The sequence below is a fragment of the Homo sapiens genome, chromosome 20 (genome assembly GCF_000001405.40).
Source record: "Homo sapiens chromosome 20, GRCh38.p14 Primary Assembly".
Classification (NCBI taxonomy): Eukaryota; Metazoa; Chordata; class Mammalia; order Primates; family Hominidae; genus Homo; species Homo sapiens.
Genome location: NC_000020.11, coordinates 34,703,042 through 34,723,563, shown reverse-complemented (window position 1 = coordinate 34,723,563; position 20,522 = coordinate 34,703,042). Strand labels below are relative to the sequence as shown.

Sequence of the window (20,522 nt, the reverse complement as noted above, 5' to 3'; positions counted from 1 at the left end):
TCTTGCATGGAGGGGTGCTAAGTGTCTCCCTAAAGAATGGCATAGCTCTGGCCTGTCCCTGGAATCACAGTCATGTATAGATATCCGCATCAGTCGCAAGACCTCAGGCCATCATTCTCTAACTGTCTCTGGTTAAGTTACTGTGTATGAGTAGAAAAACAGACTCAGTTTCTCCTGCTATACTCTCACAACACGCTTCTGACACAAGATGTAAGGTGTTTTTTTCCCCACACATCAAGCAAGTCATCAGTTCTGCCTCAGACACCAGCTGGGTGTCCTCCAATTCAATTCTGACACTATCTGCCTGGAGATAGTATCAGATCCACAGGTTTGAGGGCTCAGTCCCACAAGACTGCTGCCCACTTCCAATGCCAGGTGCAAGCCCCAGGTTGTTTTACCTGTGCTTCTGACTAGCTGGCTAAAAATTGGAGTTTCCATGAACCCCTCGTAACCAGGTCCAGTTAATTTGCTAGAGTGGCTCATAGAACTCAGGGAAACATGTTTACCAGTTTATTATACAGCTTTTTCTTTCGTTTTTTCTTGCTTTGTTTTGTTTTGTGACAAAGTCTCACTCTGTCGCCCAGGCCAGAGTGCAGTGGCACAATCTCGGCTCACTGCAACCTCCACCTCCCAGGTTCAAGCAATTCTTATGCCTCAACATCCCAGGTTGCTGGCATTACAGAGGCTTGCACCACCATTCCTGGCTAATTTGTGTGTGTGGGTGTGTGTGTATTTTTTTTAGTAGAGATGGGGTTTCACCATGTTGGCCAGGCTGGTCTCGAAGTCCTGACCTCAAGTGATTCACTTGCCTCGGCCTCCCAAAGTGCTGGAATTACTGGTGTGAGCCACTGTGCTTGGCATTTTTTTTTTTTTTTTTTTCATTTGAGACAGGTTCTTACTGTGTCACCCAGGCTAGAGTACAGTGGCATGATCATGGCTCACTGTAACCTTGAACTCCTGAGTTTAAATGATCCTTCTGCCTCAGCTTCCCAAGTAGCTGGAACTACAGGTGTGCATCACCATGCCTGGCTAATTTTTTAATTTTTTTGTAGAGATGGGGTCTCCCTGTGTGCCCAGGCTGATCTTGAGCTCCTAGCCTCAAGTGATCCTCCCACATTGGCCTCCCATATGAAAGTTTTTTTTTAATTTTTACTTTTATTTTATTTATTTATTTATTTATTTTTAGACGGAGTCTCACTCCATCGCCCAGGCTGGAGTGCAATGGTGTGATCTTGGCTCGTTGCAACCTCCGCCTCCCAGGTTCAAGCAATTCTTGTGCCTCAGCCTCCCAAGTAGCTGGGATTACAGGCGCGTACCACCACACCCAGCTAATTTTTATATTTTTAGTAGAGATAGGGTTTCACCATGTTGGCCAGGCTGGTCTCGAACTCCTAACCTCAAATGATCCACCTGCCTCGGCCTCCCAAAGTGCTGGGATTACAGGCATGAGCCACCATGCCCAGCCGGCTTTTTCTTTTGCTTTTTTTTTTTTTTTTTTTTTTTTTTTTTGAGACAGGGTCTCACTGTGTCACCCAGGCTAGAGTGCAATGGCACTATCATCACTCACTGCAGCCTCAAACTCTTGGGCTCAAGCAAGCCTCCTGCCTTAGCCTCCTGAGTAATTGAGACTGCAGGCACATATGACCATGGCTAGCTAAATTCTTTATTTTTTGTAGAAACAGGACTCACCATGTTGCCCAGGCTGGTCTAGAACTCCTGGGCTCAAGTGATCCTCCCACCTTCGCCTCCCAAAGTGCTGGGATTACAGGCGTGAGCCACTATGCCCTGATATTTTAAAGCAGTGGTCCCCAATCCCCGGGCCATGGACTGGTTGGTAGTGGTCTGTGGCCTGTTAGGAACTGGGCCGCACAGCAGGAGGTGAGTGGTGGGCAAGCGAGCATTACTGCCTGAGCTCCATCTCCTGTCAAATCAGAGGTGACATTAGATTCTCATAGGAGTGTGAACCCTACTGTAAACTGTGCATGCGAGAGATCTAGGTTGTGTAGTCCTTATAAGAATCTAACTAATGCCTGATAATCTGAGGTGGAACAGTTTCATCCTGAAACTGTCTCCCCCGCAACCCCCAGTCCATGCCAAAAAGGTTGGGGACCACTTTTAAAGGATAGAAATGAACAGCCAGATGAAGAGATACATAGGGCAAGGTCTGGATGGATCCCAAGTGTAGAAGCTTCCATCCCTGTGGAGTTGGTGCACCACCCTCTTAGCAGGTAGATGTGTTCTCGTTCACCTTCTGGGAAGCCCCTGAATTCAGTCCTTTTGTGGGTTTTGCGGGTTGTTTTTTTTTTTTTTTTTTTTTTTTTTTTTGTATAGAGGAAGAAGGGGAAGGGGAGATAGGTCCCTTTTGGGTTTTTAGTGGGGCTTCATTACATAGGCATGATTGATAAAAGAGTTGGCCATTTGTGATCAACTCAACCTCAGAGCTGTTTCAGGAACCATGGGCAAAAGGCCAAATATTTTAACAAAAGATGGCTCACTTAGGAAATTACAAGAGTTATAGGAGCTGTGAGCCAGGAACGTGGGACAAAAACCAAAAAATATATATTGTAGTATCACAGTTACCTTTTAAATCAGAAATGAGTACTGTAGCTCTTTTGGTTTTTCAGTATTAAAGCTCTTGGAGCCAAATTAAAGAATAATTATGCATATTTTTGGCCTGTATATTGTATCCAAAAATGTGAACCAAGTTATAAAATAATTTACTGTGATTGTATTTAAACCCATACCCAGAATGTGATCACCAAATATCAAGCTGGTTTCTAAAATGGATGCACCTCAAATGTGGGGACATATGCAGTGCTGGGTACCTGAAATATGAGTGAAGTATCTTCCTGCAGAATCAGCACTGTGTAAAGTTTTGAGGGGGAAAGAGGGCTTCTTTTTGCATTTAATAAGAGTTTGGTCATATATATCATATGCAAACAAAATCAGAGACATTCTGTGTTTTTCATGAAAATCTCTGAAGCTGAGAAACACTATGAGCAGTTTGTAATTAAAAGTGTTGCTGTTTGTATTGTTGGAGAACCAGTGACATTAATCATGCTCCTGCTGCGAGAGCCGAGTTTGCTTACATCATGCTGGCCAAGGCCTGCCAGACTGCCAGATCAGAGCAGGTGGGATGGATGATTTCTGGGCAAGTCCAGGAAGGCCCACATGGTTTTTGGTCATTCTTTGGTCCATTGTTTTTGTTGGTTGGGTCACTTATAATTACACAAAAATTAGCTACCACAAATCACTTTTTAAAATTGCACCTGATCAGATGTGTTGTTTACAAACATGCAAATGAGTAGTTTTCCTTCCTGACATGATGAATTTGCCACAAAAACACAAATGATTTTTCTAGCTTGCTTTATCATTATTTACTCCTCCATTTAGAATAGTTGTTGTTATATTTTCAACTGGGAAAAAGGTAATTATTTTTTTAAAAGGTAGTTAAAAATATGAAGTTCAAAGCTTTAAGTTTGGAACCAGGAAAATATGTTAATTTAAGGAAAGTTCAGAGCAATCTGTAATTATCAGCAGCCCTGGGTGTCCCTCTGACAACAAAGTAGGTGATAGCCCCACCCTACCCACAGCCAGTGAAGAAACTGTCTAAAAAAACACAGGGTATAAAGATATACTGAATTAAAACAGAAGTATTACTGTAGATATGCAAGTGAACATACATTTATAATGTCGTGGGAGAAAACCCTGAAGAGTAACCACCTGAAACTGTAGTAGCTTCATTTTGAAACCAACCATGCAAATTGTGAAGGAAAATTTCCAGAATGTTTTTGTTTGTTTTGAGACAGAGTCTTGCTCTGTCACCCAGGCTGGAGAGCTCCCTCCAAAATGTTACCACTTTTACTACTCTAATGAATAGGCAAATCACCTTTTTTTTTTTTTGAGATGGAGTCTTGCAAATTACTTTTTTTTTTGAGACAGTCTCGGATTGTCGCCCAGGCTGGAGTGCAGTGGTGCGATCTGAACTCACTGCAACCTCTGCCTCCTGGGTTCAAGTGATTCTCCTGGCTCAGCCTCCCGAATAGCTGGGACTACAGGCATGCACCACCACTCCCGGCTAATTTTTGTATTTTTAGAAGAGATGGGGTTTCGCCTTGTTGGCCAGGCTGGTCTTGAACTCCTGACCTCAAGTGATCTGCCGACCTCTGCTAATCAAAGTTCTGGGATTACAGGTGTGAGCCACCGCATCTCGCCGATTTCCAGAATTTTTTACAATTACTTAGACGTCTCGGATAGAAATAGTACAGTGAAAGGCACAATGATGTGAGCAAGGTCAAAGTCCATTTCTAAAGCTCCTTGGATGGTAGAGGTCACATACTAGAGGATTAAGTAGAGCCTTGTACTGTAGATTTGGTCAAATTTGCTTAAGGTCAAAATGAGGCAACCAGGCTGAAAAACAAATCCCTTTATTAGGTTATAAATTTAAATGTTCCCCCAGTGACATAGTTGGACAGTCACTTAAAAGACTATTATTGACCCAGTTCTTTACCACCCAGTTGGTTCTAAGACATGGATATAAATGATTTGACTACACTGCTAGAGTTTGAACTATTTGTCTATCTGTTAAGAGACACTAATTTTGTAAAATCCCTGATAGTTAAAAAACTGAAGGTAGGTTCACAGTCAGGCCAGGCAGCCTTTAGGAACAGCGTGCCAATCACAGTCTGAGGTACACCCTGACTGGATCATTAGCCTCTACATCACTTACCTAGAATTTCTTACCTTAAAGTAATTTGTGGCCAGGCTCAGTGGCTCACTTCTGTAATCCTAACGTTCTGGGAGGCTGAGGCGGGCAGATCAGTTGAGGTGAGGAATTTGAGATCAGCCTGGCCAACATGGCCAAACCCCATCTCTACTAAAAATACAACCATTAGCTGGGCGTGGTGGTGCATGCCTGTAATCCCAGCTACTAGGGAGGCTGAGGCAGGAGAATTGCTTGAACCCAGGGGGTGGAGGTTGCAGTGAGTTCAGATCGCACCACTGCACTCCAGCCTGGGCGACAATCCGAGACTGTCTCAAAAAAAAAAGTAATTTGCAAGACTCCATCTCAAAAAAAAAAAAAGGTGATTTGCCTATTCATTAGAGTAGTAAAAGTGGTAACATTTTGGAGGGAGTAGAAAATCAACTACCAAAACAAAAAAACTCATCAAAAGATGTTTTTTTCAGACAGATTTTTTTCAGACATGATGGGGAACAGTGGCAAAGGACCTCACTGTTGGAGGTGAAAATCCCAAGTTTGGTTTTAGACATGTTGAGTCTGAGGTTTGCTCTATGTCTCAGATTGACTGGATTTATCCAGGGAAGGTGATAGAGACTTCAAACTCAGTTTAAAATTTATTTTTTTCCTCATGGAAGTATGAAAGTTTACATCCTTCTCCCCACCAACCACAGTATCCAAAAGATGAGGGTTTTTAATGGTGTGTTTGTGGGTTTTTTTGCAGTTTCTAGCACAAGTCATTTGTTTATTCCTGACCCCACTCATTGATTCACGCTCAGAGGCAACCTACCAGTTCATTGGGTGCTTCGGAGCAGTGACAAATGGGAACAAGCAAGGAAGGAGGGGGAGCCTGAGGTTGCTTCTCCCCCACACCCCACTACCCACTTCTTTTCCCAGCCACATATGTTTCTCAGACATACCACTTGATCCTTCATATCACAACAAGGGAAAAGCTTCCAAAGTTGACCTAGTTAATGAATGTTTTGCTGAGGATGAACACTGTCAAGACAAAAACCCTGCCTATTTTTACTGCAAATGACAAATTTGCTGCAGTGAAAATAACGCTTGAGATTTGGACCTGAAGAGTTGATTTTAGGGAGTTATGTGGGCTGTGTGAGACTCTTTAATTTACATGAATTAAAATAAAGAACACCATTATTAACATCCTGGCAGATTAACTGTCTTCTGATTAGTAAAAGACTAATGAGTAAATCAGAAAGACTGATTCTACCACATGGCACAAAAAAAAACATGACCTTTGAGAAGACAAACATACTGAAATTTCCACCAACAGAGGCTTGAATGAAATTACTGTACTGGGCACCTCTTGGAAATTCATCTAGACCGCACTTCTTTTTATTTTTTTATTTTTTTTGAGACGGAGTCTCAATCTTGTTGCCCAAGCTGGAGTGCAATGGCGCAATCTCGGCTCACCACAACCTCCACCTCCCAGGCTCAAGCAATTCTCCTGCCTTAGCCTCCCGAGTAACTGGGATTACAGGCATGCACCACCACACCTGGCTAATTTTCTTTATTTAGTAGAGATGGGGTTTCTCCACGTTGGTCAGGCTGCTCTTGAACTCTTGACCTCAGGTGATCCACCCGCCTCAGACTCCCAAAGTGCTGGGATTACAAGCATGAGCCACCACGCCTGGCCTAGGCCTCACTTCTTAGCAGTCACCTTAGCTAACAGAGTAGTGAAATTTTTCCTTACAATCTACATATTTATTAGAGTCTGGGTTCACAAAATATTATGATACAAAAGACAAAGGAAAATTTGCCTTGAATACAACCTAACATGCAGTATCAGAAAATTCAGCCTAGTTACCAGAAATGGGTAAATCTGATTCATCTTTTGTATTGATATATTAGAAGCATTTTTTTTCTCCTTGATGAGAAGTAATTTTAGAACATTATTTTCATATTAAAACCAGAATATGAAATAAAGGTGACCTTTTGAAGTCAATATGAGATTCTAAAGAAGTGTTTACCTTTGGAGAGCTTCAGGCTATTCACTGTACTCTGCCATAACTTTGTGTAGAATTTTTTTTTTTTTTTTAAATAGAGATGGGGTCTCTGTCACCCAGGCTGGAGTACAGTGGCATGAACATAGCTCACTTCAGCCTTGAACTCCTTCAGCCATGAACTCCTGGGCTCAAGTGATCCTCCCACTTGGTCTCCTGAGTAGCTGGGACTACAGGCATGTGCCACCACACCCAGCTAATTCTTTTCTTTTTGTAGAGATGGGTTCTCACCATCTTGCCCAGGCTGGCCTCAAAACTTCTGGGCTCAAGTGAGCTTCCTGCGTCAGTCTTCCAAAGTGTTGGGATTACAGGGGTGAGCCATCACACCTGGCCAAAACGTTTTTAAGAAACACAGTTTAAGTCTGGCATAAGATTAAGTTAAAACACTGATAGTACAAGAGAAACTAAAGGAATCAAAACATAGTCATTTCCCTGTATGTCACTGTCATTCTGTGTGTAAATCACTCAGTTCCCACCTCCTCCATGAAGCCTTCAGGCTCACTTGGGCTCAGAGCAGGCCGTTGCTTATTCTGAATTGCATTCATGACTGTATGTATCCACAGTCTTTTTTTTTTTTTTTTTTTTTGAGACGGAGTCTCGCTGTCTCCAGGCTACAGTACAGTGGTGGGATATCGGCTTACTGGAACCTTCACCTCCGTAGTTCAAGCAATTCCCCTGCCTCAGCCTCCTGAGTAGCTGGGATTAAGGCACACGCCACCACGCCCGGCTAGTTTTTCGTGTATTTTTAGTAGAGATGGGGTTTCGCCATGTTGGCCAAACTAGTCTCAAACTCCTCACCTCAGGCAATCCGCCCACCTCGGCCTCCCAAAATGCTGGGATTACAGGCGTGAGCCACCACGCCCAGCCTTCCACAATCTTGATATAACTGGCTGGGCCATAGTAGACCCTCACTGACCAAGGCCCATGGTCATGTTGTTTAGACCTTGACTATAGCATGACAAAAATGGTTCCTTACTGTGAAACAATAGCTTGGCTCCAAAAGGGATCCCAAGGCAGGTTTTTTTTTGCATTCTAACAGAATTTACTCATTTGCTTATGGCATTACTCGTTGATTTCTCACCAAAAGCATTGTCAGTCTGTCTATTACACTTCGTTTTATGATGAGAACTGGTGAGGGAAACAGTGGGTGAATTGCCCAGCTACAAAGGCTCTCTCCACCCTGCACTTTCTCTAGTCAGTGTGCTTCATCGCCACCACCTCTGTCACATTCCAATTCTGCCCAATGCAGGACCACACCCTCTTCCCACGTAAGTCATCAAGCAAAGCCTGTGACTCTCTCCATTCAGAGCACCCCTTAGACAGATTCTGAGTTGAGTAGGGCTCCCCTTAGGTCTGCCCTGCTTGTTGTGGACTGTCTAAAGGGCACTGCTGTAAAGAGTTACTTCCACTGAACATGTCCTTTCTTTCCCCCACAGACATAACCAGTGCGGTGCAATCCAAGCGAAGAAAATCCAAGTAAACAAGCAGGACTGCGACTTGATACTTGGAAATGTGTGTGACTTTTACAAAGAGCAATTTTGAGCTGTGACTTTTTTAAATCAATTTCTGTACAGTTAGTAATTTTAATAATGTGGCCCTTTTCCTAGTCCCTGCAACCTGTTTCATAAAGTGCAATGGGGAAAGCAGGACTGTTGAGCCCTTTTGGTGTTGCGAGTTGAAGTTCAAGGTTTCTAAAATGTTGTCTTGTATTGAAAGGAGCTAATGCCATTATAAATGTTACTAGTTTTCACATTTCCTAAGCAGCCTAGAGTACAGGGTGAGCATTTTTAGATCTCCTAATGATGTATTGTGCCGTGGAAGTACTGTGTGTGAATAGCAGTAGTGGGGGCAAAAGCAATCTTCTCATTTGGAAATGTTGTAAATAATTTTATTATATAGTGTTTTGGATGTATTTGTTGTAGAAATGGACCAGTGAATAAAGAGAATCTAAGGATTTGTACAATGTGAAATAACGTGTTAAATAAATGTCATTGTCATAGAACATAAAGTTATGTTATTGGTAAGGGATTTTTGGGTGATCAGCTCTTTCTTTGGACCTTAACTAAGCAGACACAGCCTTGTGGATGGAATTCCTATCTAGTCCTCATTGAACCTGAGATGCCCGCCTGGCAAGTTGAGGAAAATGTACATACTTGCTCCCTCACCTCATTCTTGGCTTTGAAGAAACTAGCCCTGTTCAGCACTGTGCCAGGTATTTTGATATATATTGCTCAGATTTCTTTTGATGCAAATAACAAAACCAACTTAGAGATCAATGGCCACCCAGGATTTTCTAGGGACAGGAAGCTGTCAGCAGCTGAGATGGCACTTTTTCACCATGTCACATATCTGCTCCTCCATTTGCATGGTGGATTGCTCCAAAACAATTGTGCTGACATCTCCTCCTTGCAGGAGGTAAGCCCAAACTGGCCTGTAAGATTGTGCCAGCATCAAGAATCTAGTCCAGGGCCGGGCATGGTGGCTTACACCTGTAATCCCAGCACTTTGGAGGGCCTAGGCGGGTGGATCACCTGAGGTTGGGAGTCCGAGACCAGCCTGACCAACATGGAGAAACCCTGTCTCTACTAAAAATACAAAATTAGCTGGGCATGGTGGCACGTGTAATCCCAGCTACTGGGGAGGCTGAGGCAGGAGAATCGCTAGAACCCAGTAGGCGGAGGTTGCGGTGAGCCGAGATTGCGCTATTGCACTCCAGCCTGGGCAATGAGTGAAACTCCGTCTCAAAAAAAAAAAAATCTAGTCCAGTTTAGGTCAGGTTTCCACCTTTAGTTCTGTGGTTAGACAGAGCAGCTCCCAAATTAAAGGGGTCATTTTGTGCTGTATATTTCAGAGATGTCCACTACATTTCACTCTGGCTGTCCTTCTTCAAAATGTGTGTAGTCTCCAAAGCCAGCTGCTTCTGCCCCACCCTACCTGCAACTTGAGGAGACTCTGATGCTTGGGGCCCTGGCCTTGTCTCAGCCTGGGCTTCAGCCTTCTGCTGCATCTCCCCCAGGATTAGACTTCATCCTTTCCCCTCCAGTGGCTACTTGCCCTTGCTCTAACCCAGTGCCTGAGACCACAAGGATGAGTTTGGTCATTCTGTCATGCTGTTATTCTCATCTCTATTTCAGCTGTCTTCATGTATGTGTCTTGCATTGTAAGGATCCTCTAACAGTAGTCATTTATGAGTCAGACCCCATTGTCTGGCTCTGTTCCCAGTAAGCTTATCTCCCCTCTTCCTCTCCCATATGACACACACACCAGAACCAAGGCCAGCTTTATCATAATATCCTATGCCACTACTGTGCTTAAGATTACAAGATGCTTCTCATACTTAAGCTCAACTCAGGCAGAAAGGATCATGTGCTTTAAATATATTTTTATTTGTTTTTCTTTATATTAATTTTTTTCTCCCATAGAGGAATAGCATTACAGTCTAACAATCAGAATTCTGTTACACACATACACAGGCATGCCACATGACCCAGTTGAGGTGGTTGTCTCCTTGAGTCTGTTGACACGTCACATGGTCAAAGTCTCCTCATTTCAGCCAGTCTCAACACAAAACACCCAACAGGGATGCACTCAACTTGTTGGTTCCATGTGGAACTAGGTGGCAGGGCGAGAGGGAAAGTAGTAGAAGGGGGCTATGGTGTGTCTGCATTCAGTCCCCTCACATAAAGCCACATGGATCTAGGGGGGTATCCAAGAGCTCTGGTGGGGTCCGTGTTGCACCTAAGACATTATAGGTCAGAGCAAGTTGCTCAGAGGGTTCCAGGCAGGGGGCTGGGGAGCAGGCATACTCTAAAACAGCACCAAACTGCATTCATACACGGTGCCCTGCTGGGGCTAGACTGGCAAAGGCTGGAAAGACACCCAGCTTGAAGGAACCACTCAGACTTACTGGGGAATAACTGGAAGTCACTGTTTGATGTAACTGGGACTCACTCTAGAAACGGGTCCCTCTGACAGTTTTGGCAAAGTGCTGGTAGTACTGACATTAATACTCACAAATTGATACAAACTCCTCTAGGGCCTCAGAAAACATCAATCAAAACAGACTCTCTAACCCCCTCCTAAGGTTGCATAGGACTTTGAACTCTGGTTCCCTCATGTATTCAAGTTCTGTGGTTTAAAAAAAAATCCTGAAGCATGCTCAAGGTGAAAGGCACGTACACAGTCAATACAGTATGACAAGGGCTGATGCTTCAGGAGTCAGACTAGCAGGAGACTGAGTAGTGTTGGTTCTTAGAAATCTATACACAATTAAAATATTGCCACACTCAAATGCTACAGAATCTATAGGAAAGGTACAAAAAAATATGAGCCTTGCAACCAAGCAGGTGAGAGATTGGGTTCTAGAATACAGGAGCCTCCAGAAATATAGGTAAACAAAAGGCCTTTTAAAATTTGAGCCAAATGCCCTATAACTTAAACTCTTCCCCCACCAGAAGGATCATGGGCACCACACAGGACTGAGCCTAGGTCCCAGCTGGCAGTGAGGAGTAGGCAAGAAGGGTTGGAGGGAGATTCAGCTCTTGGAGGTGCCGAAGACCCTAGGCTGGCTGTGAAGTGCCCAAGTGGTAGCTGGAAGAATAAAAGCAACTAGGTTCTGAAGGAGAACTTGGGAGAGGAGCAAGGCTGTCAACTACTGGGGCCCTAGTGGACTGGCGTGGGAGCTTTGATCCGTTTTTAGTGTTAATTTGGCTTATTCCCTGGAATAGGAGACCCCATCAGGTCTTCCTCTGTCCTCATCCCAGCATCCATGGGGATACCCCATCCCTTCCCCACATACCCCCCATGAGGCCTGGGGCTATAGGGTCAGGGAGGGCAGCTGCCTTTGCCCTCATGGGAATGCAGAGTTTTCTCCAAGCTTCAGCTTGGCTGTGAGGCCTGGAAACCTAGAGTTGGGGTGAGGGGAGGACCTATGTTCATAGGTACCAAGAAGTCTTAAAAGTTCCTAGGAAGAGTGAGCACACACTAGAAAAGGACGGCTAGAAAGAGGAAATGGGAAGCAACTCAGGGCATCCCAAGAGGCTGTTGCTGGTGTCTGAGCCCAAAATTCAGTCTCACCACAAGAAGGGGAGGCTGGTGGCCCCTGCCCCTTCTGTCTCCCCCAGGGATTCAGGTTCCCTCTTCCAGGTATTTACTGGAGGAGAAGGGGAGGGGGATCATAGGGTACCCATTTCTCCCCAGCAACCTAGAAAGAAAGAGAGGCCTGTGGGAGAAAATGAAAAGAGGCCCCCTGAAGGCCCTGAACCTGGATAGGAACAATTTGCAGATTGAGACAGTGGGAGTCCTGGACTCCTACTCAGGACTGCTGGCTAGCCATACTGAGCAGGGTGTGAAATACAAGGCCAGAGGCAAGGTGAAGACTGAGCTGTCAGCCTTGGGATGGCTTCACCCCATGGTGTGTCCTCCAGCATCACTGCTCTGCACGCTGACCTAGGGTGTGTGCCCTTTCCCTGCCTAGAAGCCCTGTGGCCTGCATGTCTCCTAAGCTAGTTCTAGCACCTTGGGCTTGTGAACAGACGGCCAGGATGGTAGGGCCTTGCCCAGCTTCTACTCGGGTGACGTGTTGGGGGTAGAGTGGCAAGGTACTAACTAAGCCCTTCAGATTTCAGGGCCTGCAGAAGGGTGGATTATAGAAAAGGGAAGTGGGGGCAGACTCCAGGCTTCAGCCTGGGAGCAGGGTTTGGCCTCTCTGAGCAAGCACAGTGCACACTCCCTTGGTGCCCTGCTCCCTGCAGCTTCTCAACGTGTCTGTCCTGTCCGCATCTCCAATAGGCTGCCTCGTTCCCTAGATTCCCTCCATCTTCTCCCTCTAACTCACGTCTCACAGTCCTCTTCTACATACTGTACCTTTCCAGGCCTAAGCAGCTCCACAGAGTACCGCCCCCAAGGCAGAAGGAAGGGGAGACTAAAAGCAAAACCCTGAGCCCTTACTGGAGGGCAATGACAGCAGCCCAGGCTGCACAGGCTCTACCTGGTCAGAGCTGGGCTCAGGGTCCCCACCATTTGGTAGGGAATTACTGGGAATGAAGAATAAGGGAACAGGAGTGAGTGTAATGCCAACCATGGGATAGTGTGAGACATGTAAGGTGGGAGTTGAAGGTGGGGAATGAGCCAGATCAGGGACTGGAAGAAGCTTTCAGAAATAGGGGCAGGCCAGAGGTAGAGGACTGGAGGGCAAGGGTGAAAGGGAGAGACAGGGATGGGGACCAGAGAAGAAAGGATGGAGGGGCCAGGAGTAGGGGGCATGGATGATTAGATGCTGGGTATGGGGACCAGGAGTGAGGGTGAAGGGTGAATGGGTTCAGAGGCAGATTAGAGGATCAGAGATGGGGAAATTGAGGGTGTCGGGGAAGGAACGGCTATCACCCAACCTCACACGCTTTAAGAAGGGAGGTTTCGGTGTCCAGCCCGAGGAGTCGGAGGAGCCCGACAGGGATCGGGATCGGCAAGGGGTTCGTGGCGCGGCCGGTGGACGCTCAGTAGTTGAACTGGCGCTGGCACGGCTGGTAGATGAAGCTGCTCTGGTTCTTGGACCGGCGCGGACGGCTCTCGCGGGCTCGGTTCTGCCGCTGCACCGCCTTGGCGCTCAGCGCGTGGCGCTCTGCCCGCTGCCGGGCCCGCTGCAGCCGCCGCACCTGGCCCGCCTTCTCCAGCAGCGCCGCCCGCGCTGGGAGAGGAGCGGCGTGGCGCGCGGCCCGCGGCTCGCGGCGGGCGGGCGTCAATTCCCTGTGAGGACAGAGCCAGGCTCGGTCAAGCCGGGTAAGCTGGGCGGGGGGTCTAGAGGGCGCTGCCATCTCCCACCCTTGCTTCGGCTCAGTTCTGTGTCTGTTCAGATTGGGGTGCCCGACGCCCTTCTTGTGGGTACCAACCCGGAGGTGCCTCCTCGGTTCTAGCCCTTAACAGGTAAACTGGACCTCGGGGGAGACTGGACCCCCACCCCCTATTCCACCCTTGCCTTTCTGTTTAAGTCCCACTCCCTAGGCGCTCCAGCCACGCTCCTCAAGCCTCCAACCCCGGCCCCAGCCTCTTGGCCACGCCCCTCCCTCTCAAGCCCCGCCCCTCCGTCCTCAGGCCCGCTTCTAGCCTCGCCCGGAGGCCCACCGGCCCCCCACTTTGTCTCAAAGGCAACCCTCCCAAGGCCGCTACCCCCTCGAGCGCGGGGCGGGCTCCTGGCCCCACTACCCCAGCCTCCTAGCCTGGACCCTGGCCTCCAAGATCCGTCTCCCTGGGCCTCCAGGCTCCGCCCCCGGCCCGCTCACCCTTCGCTGAGGTCGCCGTCAGGCAGGGCCGCGTCCGGGAGCGGGGAAGGGGACCCGGGCTCTAGCACTATGGTGCTGCCGGTGACGTAAACGGACATGCTGGGGTGCTCGATGAGGAGGTCCTCCAGGGGACTGCTCTGGAGGCGGGCGGGACCGAGTCCAGGCCCCTCTGCCGTAAAACAGGCGGGAGGGGTAACAAACCAGCTCTCGTCCATCAAGGAGGGCGCGGGCGGAGGGCGGCCCGCGGGGGCAGGGGCGGCCCCGGGGCTGGGTGGAGCCGCGTAGCTGTCTACGGGGCGCGGGATGGGAGCCGTGCAGAGGAGGGGAGCAGCGAGGAGGCACACACACACACACACACACACACCGGACAAGGGGGCGGGGAGAGAAAGGGCATCGTTAGTCAGACCCGCAGCCCGTCCGCAGCGCCCCGGGGCACCCACGGGCCAGGCGTCTCGCCCTGCTGCCCTAGGGGACCTGACGTGCGGGCCTCTCCTGGGCCGCCAGGAGAGAGCCCCGGCTTTCATGGGAAGGGGCCCCGTGACCCCACCTCCAGTAGGCTTGGGGGACTCCCCCGTCCCCCAGCAGCGCCCTTCCCCTCCGCTGCTAGGCCATCTGCCCTTAGAATGACTTCACAGGCCCAGGAGACAGACCCAGGCCTCACCCGGCAGGTCAATGATGAGCCAGCCGTCCACTTCATCCTCCTCCGACACGAAGGCGCGGGGGCAGTCGGGGTCTTCGGGGGGCGAGGGGGTGCTGAAGAAGAGGCTGGAGAGGCGCTGGAACATGGTGGGGGGCGAAGCGCCTCACGGGGGCGCCCTATGGCAGTGCAAAAACCTGGGAATCAGAAGGACGTGAGAGCCACCACTGATTGAGGTTCACCCCACTCCTGGCCTGGGGAAGAGGCCAGAAGATATCACCCCCAGAGCAGGGAGAAGGGTACACACAACGGGGATGTGTGCGGACGCTTTGGGAAGATGTGCTTTCTGCATTCAAATCCAGGGTTTTTTTTTTATCTTCTGTATGATTTTAGAAAGTTATTTAACTTATCTGTGCCTTAGTTTTCTCATCTGTCAAAAGACAATGATAATAGTACCTTCCTCCGGGCTCTTATAAGAATTAAATAAGCTAATAATAGTATCCTCCTCCAGGCTCTAATAAGAATTAAATGAGCTATACCAAAGTTATTGAATGAGAAAAAAAGATGGAGGAGGAAGAATTAAATGAGCTAAACACTTATAAAGTGCTTAGAACTGTCTGGGCATATGGTAAGCACTCAACAAACTAATAAATTAGTTATTATTACAGGGTGCTTTAGGAACATAGAGTGACACATGACACAGCTCTGCCAGGGAAGGTCTCCAGAGAATTGGACATCCAAGCTGCACTCTGAGGAGTAAATAGGAGTTCTCCAGGCAGGGAGGAAATTGCCCATATTGTCTGCTTGTTATCATTATAATATAGCTAGGCCGGGCACAGTGGCTCACGCCTGTAATCCCAGCACTTTGGGAGGCAGAAGTGGGTGAATCACTTGAGGCCAGGAGTTCAAGACCAGCCTGGCCAACGTGGTGAACCCCATCTCTACTAATAATACAAAAATTAGCTGGGCGTGGTGGCAGGTGCCTGTAATCCCAGGCTGAGGCAGGAGAATCACTGGAACCTGCGAGGTGCCACTGCACTCCAGCCTGGGTGACAGAGCGAAACTTGGTCTCAAAATAATAATAATGATATAGCTAACATTTATGTTCCAGGCACTATGCTAAGCAGCTTTACCTATATTACCTCATGTAATCCTCACAACAACTACAGGAAGTGGATAATTACTGTCCTTACTTTACAGTTAAGAAATTGAGGCTCAGAGAAGTTAACTGTCCCAAAGTCTCAGAGCTAGTAGGAGACAAAGGTGGGATTGAATCCACACAATCAGATTCCAGAGGCAGCACCCAGAATCACTATATTCTATTGCCTTTTCTGGGTGTCTGTCTGAATTTGATATTTTCAATTTGGTGGCCAGGGGTCATGGTCCATGTGTATTTTTCTGGGAAAAAGGACCTTGGTTTTCATCATGATTTCCTAAACAGCAATCTTTGACCCCAGAGATTAAGAACCACTCCTGGAGCCTGTGTGGTTTGAAAAGCACTGGCCAGCAGAAATCCCATAGAACTGCTACCATCTTACCATGTGATTTGGCACACCTCGGTTGTGTCTGTCATATGAAGTGTAAAGATGGCATGCCGGCAGGCCCTCCCCCCTCTGACCCCCTTTTCCCAGGCTCCTGTTCAAGGGCAGCATCCAGGGGTAGGAGGAAGATCAGGTTGCTTGGGCTCAGTGAGACAGCAGGTCAGTGGGAGGTGATGATGAAGGGAGGGAGCTGTCAGTTCCCAGGAGCCCTTAAGGATGAGCACTGAGGGTTGGACCCAGACCGAGGTAAGCCCTTAACCAATCCTTCCCTGGGTGAAGATGAAGAGGGAGGCCCCCTACTGCAGAAATGGAAACACCAAGGTGGTAGCTCTAGATCTACCCCCTCCCCATGCCAGCCTACCTCAGGACTAGAGCTTGGCTGGGGGCTGCTGGCCATACTCCCCCAGTACCTGAAGCCTGACTGACTCTCCACACCTGTTCCCTAAAGATGCTCAACGGTTTTGCTGCTGAGACACTTGTCACCATTCTCTAAGGGTGTTTCCACACTTCCTGTAGAACTTCCTGGGGGCATGTCCAGACTTCCCTGAAGGCATTTCTCCTCTTTCTGCTAATCCACCTGCAGTATTGCCATGCTTATTGCTACCTCCCCCATTCCCTAGAAATGTTTTCACACTTGCTGCAGAATCACCTCACTTCCATACCCTGAGAATATTTCCACATCTGCAGACTCACAGTAGGCTTAAGATGCTGGCTTCTCTGGTGGGATGGGGGTGGGAGATCTACAGGGATTAAGAAGGTGGGGCCACCCCCAACTAGTGTCCACCCAGCACAATTCATGTATCCCAACCCATATGTAGCCACAGGGAGCTAGTGACTCCATTACCAAAAGCCCAGAAAGTTTGGCCCCTCTTGAAGGAAGGGAATATCGAGGCCTTGATGAGGCACATCCTCCTTCCAAGAACCTACTAATTCATGGAATATGAAAGAGAAGTTAAGAGCTGTTTCAGGGACCATCATATTCACCCAGCCCATTTTAAAATCTGATGATCAGAAAGAAGACATAAATCTATCCAAAAATACATGGCTAGATAGTGGCAGGGCAGACCTAGTCCCACGTTACTGTGCATCCAGTCCAGAGTGTACACAGTCAGGAAAGACTCAGCAAACAATCCCCAAGAATACAATGATGCAGGGGTACAGGGAGGTGAAAAAGACCTTGACCTAGCCACACCACCCCTCGCCTAGCTACAAAAGGGTCTGGGGTTACTGGCACCAAGATTTAGCATGCATTTACTGAAGACCCACTGTGTACCAGAGCCTGCACTGTGCCTCCCCAAATTTCAGATAGGTTTAGGGGAGGGAGGCTCAGGGGAAAAGCTCCCTGCCTGAGGTCACACAGCAAGTCAGTGACAGCCAGGAGTGAAAGCAGTCACCAGCCAGCCAGTGCCTGCCCCCTCTCCTGACCACTTGGGGAGCCTCCCAGATTTCCTTTCCCAGCCCTGCCAGCTTCCTGGTTCTCACATTCCCAGTTCTGCTCCAGGGAGAACCATTCCCTTTAATAACTACAGCAGCTCTGCCCAGAATAGCATTTGTGCCCTAAGCCACCCCTACCCCCAGCCCATCCTTGAGCAAACTCCCAGCAGGAATGGAGTTCCTGGTTCAGCCTCTAGGCCCATCCACTTGTTAAGTCAGAAACTCTCCTTATCCTATCCCTTCTCCTATACTCTCTGTGGGCAGAGGTGACGAGGGAGCAGCAAAACACCTGCAATTGTCTGCACTAGGCCAGGTCAGGCCCTTCCTAGCTGACGACCTAGGAAGTTGGGAAGGTAAAGGGCCAATAGAGGGAACCCTCACCCCACCCTCCACCCCAACATCAGCCCTGGAGACACCCCGAGGCAGCCAATGACTCACCTCTCTGTGATCCAAACAGCTGGGAGGCAGCGATTTTATTGGACTCTAGGACTTCAAGGTACAGTGAGGACAGAAGGGGTCAGGACCACAAAAGGTGAACCAATCTCCAGAGATTCCCTGGAAAAGGGTCCAGGAGTAAGGACACCTAGGAGCCTATCAAACCGTGATAAGGCTGAGCCCAAGATCGGGTCCCCAGTGGAAGGAGGATGTGTATCTTACCACTTGTACTGAGCCCCTATTATGTCTTTGCCCCTGGCTAATAATCCATCTGTCACTCAGTGAGCATGACTCTAATTGGTTATGTGACCTCGAGAGAGCTAATCCTCCTCTCTGGGCCTGTTGCCCCTTCCATGCACTGGGGTCTAAGACCCTTCATTTTGGGTCTAGGAGTGACATCAGCTAAGGCGCTGCACACAAATCAGGGATTAGGAGGATGTTATTCTGTTAGTCCCTGGGGGCGGAGTCTGGAGCCGGAGGGAGGGGATCCCACCACCATCTGGTGCTGTCCCAACCACCTGGAGTCCCATGCAGCCCTGAACTCCTGACGACCCCCTCAACCTAGGCCCAGCAGCGCCGTCTGACTCCTTCTCAGGTTGCAAAGAGAAAGTAGGGGATCAGAGGCCTGACCCCAGCCCCTGGATAAGCCTAGGAAATCGCCGATCCCCCTGCAGCCCCCTTTGGATTGCAGCGTCTCACCCAGGGCCCAGCCCCGACACAGCGGCTACCGGGTCACGGGAGGACAAGCGACCCGAGCCTGTGGGGGCGGTACCGGCCTTGGTGACGTCTCAATGTCATATGCAAATAGAACGACGTCATGGTCTACCGGGCGTGCGGCAACCAATCGGGAGCCGGGAACGCGGCCCCGGCGGCCGCCGGCGGAGACAGACAAAGGCCCGGGCGCGGGGGGCGCAGGGCGTGTCCGTGGCAGGGGAGCCCCCAGGCCCACCCGGGTCGGGACTCACCTGGGGGCGGGAGGGGGGCGGCACGGCGTTGAGGTAGTTGTGCGGCGGGGCGTCCCAGGGTCGCCGGCCGCTCACAGGCCGGGCCGCATCGCCGGGACTCGCGGGGGAGGCGGCGGGGCCGCGGTCGCTCCGGGCTGCTGAGCTCGCCCGCGGGGCTTTGAGTCTGTGCGGCCGCTGCGGCGGGGCTCACGGCACAAATTGGAACGTTCAAACAGCTGATTGTGACGTCACAAAGGGGCCCGCCCGCCTCGCGTCACCGGCTGGCGGGGCGGCGGCCAATCCCGGGCTGCGGATCCCCCCCTGCCCCTCCCCTCCCCTCCCCTCCCGGTTTGCGGGCCGGGCGCTCGGGCCGGGAAACGTTCTCGGAACCGGGAGGGTGAGTGTTCGGGGAGGCAGCTGCGGGGAGCTGGGAGCCCTGCGCCGCGGCGAGCTCTCCGCGAGGAGGATCTCCACTCCCTCCTACCGGCTCCTTATTTTCCTGATTCTTCCCGGATCGCAGCGCCCTCACCTCTCCCACTGCTCCCCAAATCCTTTCACTGCATCCTATATCCAAGTCCCCCGATGCGGACCCTGTTCTCGACCCACACCACGTCCGTGCACCTGCATTCTCCCCACTGCCCTTATTCCTGCTCTCCCTCCCCCCTCTGGCTCACCTCCTCAGCCTTACACACTCTGCTTTCCCACCCCGTTTTTCCTCAGCTCGGCGGGCTTGAGAAAAGAGGGACATCCCCAACCCCCGGTTCCCGGGGAGCATCTGGGAATGTAGAGAAGTTAGTGAAGCTGACGTGAAATTTCGCAGAGTAGGACTTGGAGAGGAATTGCCCTGGGCTGAGTAAACATTGACCTGAGACGGCTCCGCGCTTGAACGTTTACATACCTTATTTAATCTATGTTGCTACCGGGGCTGTAAAGAAGTGGCAGGACAGGGACTGATTATGAGTCCTGATTTACACGTGGGAAAGCTGAGTCTCACAATCTCACTGTTAGCGTGTGAACTCATGTTCAACAATGCATTCAACATTTATTAGGCACCTACTATTGCACCACCATACCACTAGCTGACATGTATTGGCACACTTACTGTGTGCCACGACCTGTGCTATGGGTGTGTTTTTTTATCTTCACAACAACCCAAAAGGTAGATATTGTCCCGTTTAACAGTTGAGGAAACAGACTCAGAGAGCTCAAGTGACTTTCTTAGGTCACAAAAGTACAGTCAATGGCAGAGCCAGGATTTGAACCCATAGCTCCCAGCCCTGACCCTCTCCATTCTCTACATGAACCAGATGGTCTAAACCTCAGGGCGCTTTAGCCTCCCCAGAGTCCTGGCTTTCAGTCCTGACTGTGCCCTAGACTTGCTGTGTGACCTCAAGTCATGTTACCTCTCTGGGTCTCAGTTTGTCAAACAAACATATCCAGGCTTCCCTCTAGAGCTGCCATTGTAAGATTCTTCCACACTCTCTGCCCTCAG

General features: G+C 49.4%; 2 protein-coding genes and 1 long non-coding RNA gene across 39 annotated transcripts in view, besides 5 other annotated features; 2 read left to right on the top strand and 1 right to left on the bottom strand.

Moving 5' to 3' along the window:
• Positions 1–8,790, top strand: part of NCOA6 (nuclear receptor coactivator 6) — a 110,878-nt gene extending 102,088 nt beyond the window's left edge. For 33 of the 34 annotated variants that reach the window (XM_047440068.1, XM_047440055.1, NM_001438234.1 and 30 more), the window contains one exon: positions 8,199–8,790. In XM_047440068.1, coding sequence (XP_047296024.1) covers positions 8,199–8,242 — 44 coding nt within the window. In that variant the 3' untranslated portion in view covers positions 8,243–8,790. The remainder of the gene's footprint in view (positions 1–8,198) is intronic. The other variant, NM_001318240.1, reaches the window with a different exon arrangement.
• Positions 8,791–10,127: 1,337 nt separating this feature from the next.
• Positions 10,128–19,220, bottom strand: TP53INP2 (tumor protein p53 inducible nuclear protein 2). Of its 4 annotated transcripts, none has more exons than NM_021202.3 (5): positions 19,052–19,220; positions 18,090–18,206; positions 14,701–14,873; positions 14,040–14,328; positions 10,128–13,506 (listed from the first exon to the last, which is right to left on the bottom strand). In NM_021202.3, the coding sequence occupies exons 3-5, from the start codon at positions 14,822–14,824 to the stop codon at positions 13,257–13,259; spliced, it is 663 nt and encodes a 220-aa protein (NP_067025.1). In that variant the 5' UTR covers positions 14,825–14,873; positions 18,090–18,206; positions 19,052–19,220; the 3' UTR covers positions 10,128–13,256. The 4 variants fall into 4 exon arrangements, with proteins under 4 accessions (NP_067025.1, NP_001316358.1, NP_001316360.1 ...); NM_001329429.2 differs by having other exon boundaries at positions 14,701–14,855; NM_001329431.2 differs by lacking the exon at positions 19,052–19,220 and adding an exon at positions 18,786–18,845.
• Positions 13,366–13,535: a silencer, noted in NCBI's record as "silent region_12846". NCBI's record gives its function as "represses an Ori minimal core promoter by ATAC-STARR-seq in GM12878 lymphoblastoid cells {active_cell/tissue: GM12878}" and the evidence as "EXISTENCE:reporter gene assay evidence [ECO:0000049][PMID:35858748]".
• Positions 13,786–14,045: a silencer, noted in NCBI's record as "silent region_12845". NCBI's record gives its function as "represses an Ori minimal core promoter by ATAC-STARR-seq in GM12878 lymphoblastoid cells {active_cell/tissue: GM12878}" and the evidence as "EXISTENCE:reporter gene assay evidence [ECO:0000049][PMID:35858748]".
• Positions 14,086–14,645: a silencer, noted in NCBI's record as "silent region_12844". NCBI's record gives its function as "represses an Ori minimal core promoter by ATAC-STARR-seq in GM12878 lymphoblastoid cells {active_cell/tissue: GM12878}" and the evidence as "EXISTENCE:reporter gene assay evidence [ECO:0000049][PMID:35858748]".
• Positions 14,745–15,039: a silencer, noted in NCBI's record as "tiled region #13945; HepG2 Repressive non-DNase unmatched - State 12:CtcfO, and K562 Repressive DNase unmatched - State 4:PromP". NCBI's record gives its function as "represses a minimal TATA promoter and a strong SV40 promoter by Sharpr-MPRA in HepG2 and K562 cells {active_cell/tissue: HepG2 | K562}" and the evidence as "EXISTENCE:reporter gene assay evidence [ECO:0000049][PMID:27701403]".
• Positions 18,945–19,424: a silencer, noted in NCBI's record as "silent region_12843". NCBI's record gives its function as "represses an Ori minimal core promoter by ATAC-STARR-seq in GM12878 lymphoblastoid cells {active_cell/tissue: GM12878}" and the evidence as "EXISTENCE:reporter gene assay evidence [ECO:0000049][PMID:35858748]".
• LOC105372599 (uncharacterized) lies at positions 19,382–19,905 on the top strand. Its single transcript, XR_936690.3, has 2 exons — positions 19,382–19,427; positions 19,751–19,905. It is a non-coding gene; the product is annotated as an uncharacterized LOC105372599 (long non-coding RNA).
• Positions 19,906–20,522: the final 617 nt, after the last annotated feature.